The 8,809-nt window shown below is 36.2% G+C and overlaps 1 pseudogene, besides 1 other annotated feature; it reads left to right on the top strand.

Annotated features, from left to right (window-relative positions):
- Nucleotides 3,442-3,736: an enhancer, noted in NCBI's record as "tiled region #9296; K562 Activating non-DNase unmatched - State 3:PromF". NCBI's record gives its function as "activates a minimal TATA promoter and a strong SV40 promoter by Sharpr-MPRA in K562 cells {active_cell/tissue: K562}" and the evidence as "EXISTENCE:reporter gene assay evidence [ECO:0000049][PMID:27701403]".
- On the top strand, nt 6,538-6,644 carry RNU6-804P (RNA, U6 small nuclear 804, pseudogene; annotated as a pseudogene).

The raw sequence follows: 8,809 nt of genomic DNA, 5'->3' as shown, positions 1-8,809 counted from the left end.
TTTTATCTTTATAGTCTCTTTGTCTAGCATGCAATATGACCTGTGCTCAATGAATACATATATGGCTGTGGAATTGAACAGAAATTTCAGTGGAAGTTTTGAAAATGCATAGATAAAATTAAACCTGAGAAACACAGATTGAGTAACATAGAACATACTAGAGAAGGCACCCAGAAGCTCTGAAGAAGTTAATGAAAAAGTGTGTCAAATTAAATGTTTATGCACCAACACACAATATGTAGAAATTAAGAGGATTTACGCCATTAACATCAACTGACAAACGTGATTTCATAGACGATCATCTTAATATGTGTTGTCTGCTGGGCCAAGGCATATGCATGTATTAGGACCATATATTTAAAATTTTTATTTTTTATAATACTAGACATATATGTATTTTTATATACAAATATGAGTATTTTATGCTCATGCAGAGCAAAAATATATACATATATAGGTATATATTCTGGGAGTTCTATATCCGGTAGAGGCCACTTTTTAGCATTTTCATATTTGTTTTACAAAATAATTTTTCCTGTTATATATTGCCTGACATTTTTCCCCCCAAATAATCTAGAAGTACACGTTAAGTAGTCAAGTAGAGTTTTTTTTTAACTATACAGCTACAGATCGCTTAATAACTGGGATACCTTCTAAGAAATGTATTGTTAGACGATTTTATCATTGTGTAACTATCACAGAGTTATTTACACAAATCTAGATGCTACAGCCTACTACACACCTAGGCTGTATGATACAGCCTATTTCTTCTAGGCGAAAAACCTGTATATGTTACAGTACTGAATACTTTGGGCAACTATAACACAATGGTAAGTATTTTTGTATCTAAACATAAAAAAATATAGTAAAAATACAGTATTATAATCTTATGAGACCATTGCCCAATATGTAGTCTGTCATCGACCAAAATATCGTTACATGGTGCATGACTGTACATCATAAACATGTCTCTATATCACTACATCTGCATGTATATAGCTAAAAATCTAAAGATTGAACCACCTGAACAAAAGCATTTATTTAATACAAAAGAGACAAGATGGGATATCCCTGTGGAATGATATTATAAACAACCCTGTCAGACTGTATGTCAATGACTTTCTAAAATACATTGGAAAACAGGCACCAAGGCAACATGTATTGGTAAAATGTTTATCTTCTGAAAGCACGTAACCTCGAATATTACTGTTTGAATTTGCTGTGGGCATGGGAATGGTCATCACGCAGAGCAGGGTTTTCAAACAGGCCTACAGAACAACCTACAACAGAAAATACAGTAAGCTTGCTAAAAATGCAACTTTCTGGCTCTAAAACAAACTTCCTCAATCAGAATCTTTGAAGAAAAAATAGAGCTGGCTTTTTGGGCATGCTCAGAAGGGCCCCATGCTGGGTTTAATGTCTTACTGTCACCATCATGTAAAATTCTTAATGATTTTGATGTCACCATCAAAAATTCTTAATGCTTTTCAACATGGGGCTTTAATTTTGCATTATGCCCTGCTAATTGTATAGCTGGTTCTGAGAAAGGGCACTGAGAAATGTACATTTTAAACAATCACTCCACGTGTCTGCAGACCACACTGTGATACACACTAAAAACTGAAAATGATTGACTGAAGGTTAAAGAAGCAAAGAAATGTTACTCTTGGGTAAGCCTCTTATAATCTAGGAAGACAGGACTATGAATGTGGAGGGAACAGAAACCATGGGAGACAGTGTAACCATGTCATCTTCAAGTTAATAAAAGCCAAGCAGTGAGAGACAGACAAAACCAAAATGCTATATTTTTCTGAAAGAACATTTCCAAAGTTCTGAGAGAGATGGAATTGTACCTTTGTTCAGAAGTTCTAAAGGGCATATGGTGAGGAATTAAAATCAGAGACTCTAAGTACTAATCCCCATATTATAAACATAATGTGAGCTACTGACCAAATTTAGTAATCAGAAACTAAAGAAGAAATTTTCATGTCTCTACAAGGTAATGAGATCAGACCTTCAAGGTTGAGAAGATGTTAAGAATACAAAAAATGGAGAGAATCTGAAGAAGTTTACAAAGACTTGAAACACTGGAAAACTCTTAAGACAAAACAAGGGCTTTTACATAAATAAGGCAGAATAGAGCTTTAAATGGAATCAAAATCCAGTACTGGGAAACTTGCACAAGAATCTGATGAGATTAAAAAAAAAAAAAAAAACACCTCAGGAATGAAGCTTTCCCTGACCCAAACTAAGCCCACAATCTTTCCATAAGAGAGAGCACTGAATACCAGCACTCACAGTGTGGATACTCAGTTTTGATCACTATCACCATTCTAGGGTAACAGCAACTATACAGACACAGTACCAAATACAGAGTAGGTGCTTTACAAATGTTAACTAAATTGTAATTCTATGTTTGTTCAAATACGAAAGTGCTACCTTAGGTTGCCTCAGATTAAAAAAAAAGAAAATGCATTGAGCTAGAGTATTCATAGTACCAAAAACATTCTAGGTGCTTCTCCAATGAGTTCTCCTGGACACACATTAATCTCAACCGGCTCACCTCAATAATTTGTTTGAACACCTGCATATGAGTTTTTAGTTTCAGCTTCACTCATTATTAACTGGTCTTAATCTCTATTAAGTAGACTTTCTTGGCTACGCTGCAGGTACATATGCTTGCTCAAAACAATCCACACACCTCAGGAAAAGTCTACAATTTACTACAAAAAACATGTTAAGCAACAAAGCAGAGAGCTTAGATTTATTCATATTCTGTTTTGCTCTTTTCCCCATCAAGGAAAATAATTTTCAAGCTGGCAAATCTAGAACAAACATCATTAGGAGGGAAGTGAAGTACAAGATAGGTGCAGAGATAATAAGGGACTACTTTACAGCTTTAAATTAATTCAAGCCTTAGGGCCCAGATAAATTATATCCTAGGATATTTAAATGACTTGCAGATGTGATCAAGGCACTACGGTTGTTAAACTCTAAGAAATCACAAAGAAAAAAGGAGGCCCCAAAAGTCTGGAAATGGGCAAATGTTATTCCCATTTCTTAAAGGTGGGTGTGTGTGTGTGAGGGGTTGAGGCAATGGATTCTAGAAATTGTAAACTTAATGCTAACCCCTAAACAAATTATTGAACAAAGGTTAAGTAGTCTGTGAGTGGCTCTCTTGAAGGCAAGGACCCTGTCTGTGTCGTTCAACACAGTATCCTCAGGGTCCTTAGCAGGGTGTGTCCTTAGCAGGCACTTAATAAATACTTATAGAATATTAACTGCTTAGCAGGGAAAGTTGTATTTGAAATCAACATGTATTAACCGAGAAGTAAACTTAAACAAGTTGTTTGACTCTCTGGGCTTCATTATTGATTGTACTGGGTAAGATTTTCAAGGTTATTCTCTGGAAACAATTCTAAAATCGCACCAACTTAAGTAACCAAGACTTACTTTTTGCTCACACTTCCTGTCCATGTGGGTAGACTGGGTGCTCTGTTCCGTGTCATCCTCACTCCAGAACCGAGGCTAACAGACGAGCTAACCAAAGCGTCACCAATCGTTGAGGCAGAGAGAAAGACAAGACCCTACTTTGGGGAGGGCAGACCTACTTTTATTGCTTCCACCTGGAAGTGAGGCCCGCACCACACACGTTTGATTGATCTAAGTAAATCACGTCGCCACGCCCACTTCAAGGGGAGGGGAAGTAGAAACCACCTTGTACTGAGGAGGAAAACCAGAAACACCTGGCTAAAACTGTCAATGAATATCACAGTTATACTGTCTGAAAAATGAAAATTATAGTAGATATGTAGAGGTGTGAGTTTTCTTTGATCATACATTTTTACAAGAAATGTCATAATACTTTGTTTTTCTAAATCAATTGAAATCTATTGCTGAGGCCCACTGTACTCAGGGCGGCGAGAGCAGCATTTATTCTCTAAGGTTGCACCAACATCCAAAGAGTTTTCAGCCTGCCTTGAAAATAAAGAAAAGTTTTCTACACTTTAATATATCACAGTCACGGCTGAAAAATAAATTGTGTAATCCTATGTGAGCCATTAGAAGGTAGAAGGTGGGCTTTTCTGCCTTTTTTTTTTTTTTTTTTTTTTTGAGATGGAGTCTCGCTCTGTCGCCAGGCTGGAGTGTAGTGGCGCTATCTCGGCTCAAGGCAACCCCCGCCTCCCGGGTTCAAGCGATTCTCCTGCCTCAGGTGCGCGTCATCACGCCCAGCTAATTTTTGTATTTTTAGTAGAGACGGGGTTTCACCATGTTGGCTAGGCTGGTCTCGATCTCTTGACCTCAAGTGATCTGCCTGCCTCGGCCTCCCAAAGTGCTGGGATTACAGGCTTGAGCCACCGCACCTGGCCTTTTCTTGCTATTTCTACACTTAGCTTGGGCACAGTTTGGATGTAGTGTAATACCTTAGCTGAAGGTAAAAGCCTTGGCCAATTATCTAGTCTCCATGATTGCACCTTGCAGCTGTCCCTTCTAAAGTCCTATCTTCTCCCTAGGTTGCTGCAGAGGAACATAATTCCCATCATCAGATACATACACACATTCTCTCATACATATAAGGAATATTTTATTCTCATGAACTGTGTGTATTTCTGCCCACCTGCTCTGTACCTTCCACCACCTTCCAAAGATGAATCTCTCTCTCATATCACTCTGAAATAAACTGGCTTAATCCATTAAAAGGACTTCTGTTTTCAAAAACAAAATGTTGGGGGAGGAGGCTGTGTTCAGACAACTTCTGCTTTAAGGCTTGTAACATCAACGCCCCTGAAGCAAGAACAGCACAGGGTAACTTCTCGGTAAAAGGAAGAAATACACTGGGAGTAAAATACAAGTTAGTGTCTCAACCAATTATCTTTAATAATATTTCAAGGTAATATCTTTAATTTAATGATTAAATGAAAACAGAAGTAGAATCAAATACAGAAGCTGACAGAAGGTTTTTGAAAAAAGACAGTTTCTATTATAACTGTCAAATTATGTTTGATTAGCCATATTTCCATATTTAAAACAGTTACTCAACTGGCTATTTGAAGGACGAGATAGTCAATGTGTCTCTATTGACTGGAAAAATAAGCACTGAATTTGTAGAACAAAGAACACAGAACCTTACATCTGATTCTCCTCTTCCATTTTACAGATAAGCAATCACAAGACATGAAAATTTTCTGTAACAGTCAGAAATTTTACATGGTTCCCTTTAATGCATATTACTATTCAATTATTTCTTGTTTTATACTTTTAATGTTATGAAAAATAAACCATTGAGGATCTATTTATTTATGATATGGTGAACTCTCATCAGAAATTATTTCTAACAACTTATAAGTTAAAAACTGTATCGGGCCTCCTTCTGTTTTATCTAAATATGTATTTGGAAATCACCTAACCAGCAAAAATACCAAACAGTTTTATGTTATCCTTTAAGGGAAATATTTTGTGTGGGGCAGTACCTAAAAGAAAGCTCATTCTCAGGCAGGTCTGTTTTAGGAAGGACTACCTTGGAAGTCAGAAAATTGATTCTTCTAGAATCACCCATGCCTGTGAGCCCTTGCATAGGACTGCAGTTGGAAAACCACGGTGCTATGTAGTAAAATCTGGAGGGCTTTCTCTAATGAGAGCCCTGGGGTTTAAGTCATCTGAGTTTGGTTTGAGCAGACACATCTGAAGTTATTATGGATTAAGTTGAGAGACCATTTAGCAATATGCAGTACTCCCAATCACTTAGAAAAACTTAACTAAACTATTGGAAGGATTCCATCCTGTTTTTTAAATGTAGTATACTTATTAACTCAATAGAGAAACATGAAGTCAAGATTGACTTCATTTTATTGTCAAACTGAAGGGTGACAAGAAATTTCAGCCTTAGCCCTTTGAGGAAAAAGAACAAGAGTCTGTAAACCCCAAATCCTGACCAGAGCTTTCAACCCTGCATTTCATACCCACTGTCTGACAGTTGCTGAAAATGTTAACAACTCATCAAGTAAAATCGGCACCATTAAAAAGTGAGGAAAGCATTCACCTGATTCCTTTTTTACATGCTATTTTCTTTAAGTTAATTACAATGTGTTTTATTTTAGTCTGAGAGTTACTGTTGTTACTGATGTTAAATATAGTAAAAAGAAAAAAAAACAGATTTTTTCCCTCATATAAGTTTACCGTTATTGTTTCCCAGACTTGAAAATACTTTACCTTATGCTACTAATATAGAATCATTTTACTTTACCTTATGCTACTAAAATAGAATCTTACTGTAAACCCAATTTCAACATATAATTCTATAACTGTAGAATTGGAACAGCAAATTATATATGTTTCACCATTGCTGGAAAAATTGAAAGTTGGAATACATACCTGGGAATTACTTAAATAAATTATATCTATACCATTCAAGAGTTAGTAACTGTCTTAAAAATGACATAAGAGTATAAATACTAATTTGGAAGATGCTTATAAGTGTAAAAAGAAAACAGTATAGTAGGTATTATATGATCTCACTTATATTATTACGATATTTCAGTGCTCACTTTGACAGCACATATACTAAAATTAGAATGATACAGAGAAGATTAGCATGGCACCTGTGCAATGATGACACGCAAGTTTGTGAAGCATACAATATTTTTAAAACACAACGAAGTACAAAGACCAGTGACACTATGAAGTAACCACGTAAACAAGTCTGCAAAATAACCAGCTAACATCATCATGACAGGATCAAATTCACATGTAATAATATTAACCTTAAATGTAAATGGGCTAAATGCTCCAACTAAAAGACACAGAATGGCAAGCTGGATAAAGAACCAAGACCCATTGGTATGCTCTCTTCAAGAGACCCATCTAATGGGTCAAAGACACATGTAGGCTCAAAATAAAGGGATGGAGGACAAATTACCAAGCAAATGGAAAACAGAAAAAAGCAGGGGTTGCAATCCTAGTTTCTGACAAAACAGACTTTAAATCAACAAAGATCAAAAAAGACAAAGGAGGGCACTACATAATGGTAAAGTGTTCGATTCAACAAGAAGAGCTAACTATCCTAAATATGTATGCACCCAATACAGAAGCACCAAGATTTATAAAGCAAATTTTTAGGGACCTACAAAGAGATTTAAACTCCCACACAATAATAGTGGGAGACTTTAACACCCCACTGTCAATATTAGACAGATCACCAAGACAGAAAATTAACAAAGATATTCAGGACCTGACCTCAGCTCTGGATCAAGTGGACCTGATAGATATCTACAGAACTCTCCAACCCAAATCAACAGAATATACATTCTTCTCATTGCCATACAGCACTCACTCAAAAATTGATCACATACTTGGAAGTAAAACACTTCTCAGCAAATGCAAAAGAACTGAAATCATAACAAACAGTCTCTTAGACCACAGCACAATCCGTTTAAAACTCAAGTTTAAGAAATTCACTCAAAACCACAAAACTACAAGGAAATTGATCAACCTACTCCTGAATGACAACTGGGTAAATAATGAAATTAAGGCAGAAATCAAGAAGTTCTTTGAAACTAATTAGAACAAAGAGAAAATGTACCAGCATCTCTGGGATGTAGCTAAAGCGGTGTTCAGAGGGAAATCTATAGCACTAAATGCCCATATCAAAAAGCTAGAAAGATCTGAAGTTAACAACCAAACTTCACAACTAAAAGAACTAGAGAAGCAAGAGCAAACAAACCTCAAAGCTAGCAGAAGACAAGAAATAACCAAGATCAGAGCAGACCTGGAGAATGCAGAGACACAAAAAAAACCTTCAAAACATCAACACATCCAGCAGCTGTTTTTTTAAAAAAATTAATAAAATAGATAATACTAGCTAGACTAATAAAGAAGAAAAGAGAGAAGAACTAAATAGACACAATTAGAAATGATAAGAGGGCTATCACCATTGACCCCACAGAAATACAACCAACCATCAGAGACTACTATAAACAGCTCTATACACATAAACTAGAAAATCTAAAAGAAATTAATAAATTCATGGACACATACACCCTTCCAAGACTGAAGCAGGAAGAAGTAGAATTCCTGAATAAACCAATAACAAGTTCCGAAATTGAGGCAGTAAGAAATAGCCTACCAACTAAAAAAAGAAAAGCCCAGGACCAGATAGATTTATAGCTGAATTCTACCGGCGGTACAAAGAGGAGATGGTACCATTTCTTCTGAAACTATTCCAAACAATTGAGAAGGAGGGACTTCTCCCTAACTCATTTTATGAGACCAGCATCATCCTGATACCAAAACCTGGAAGAGACAACAACAACAAAAAAGAAAATTTCAGGCCAATATCTCTGATGAACATCGACGCAAAATTCCTCAATAAAATCCTGGCAAACCAAATCCAGCAGCACATGAAAAAGCTTGTCCACCAGGATCAAGTTGGCTTCATCCCTGGGATGCAAGTTTGGTTCCACATATGCAAATCAATAATGTAATTCATCGCATAAATAGAACTAAAGACAAAAAATACATGATTATCTTAAGAGATGTAGAAAAGGTCTTCAATAAAATTCAACAACCCTTTGTATCATAACAAAAACTCTCAATAAACTAGGTATTAAAGGAACATACTTCAAAATAATAAGAGCCATATATGACAAACCCACAGCCTGGAAGCATTCCCCTTGAAAACTGGCACAAGACAAGGATGCCCTCTCATACTTCTATTCAACATAGTACTGGAAGTTCTGGCCGGGGCAATCAGCTTTCAGCTGAGAAAAAATAAAGGGTATTCAAATAGAAAGAGAGGAAGTCAAATTATCTT

Source organism: Homo sapiens, chromosome 5 (genome assembly GCF_000001405.40).
Source record: "Homo sapiens chromosome 5, GRCh38.p14 Primary Assembly".
Lineage (NCBI taxonomy): Eukaryota > Metazoa > Chordata > Mammalia > Primates > Hominidae > Homo > Homo sapiens.
The sequence above is the reverse complement of the archived record's forward strand: the minus strand, read 5'-3'. Positions and strand labels throughout refer to the sequence as shown.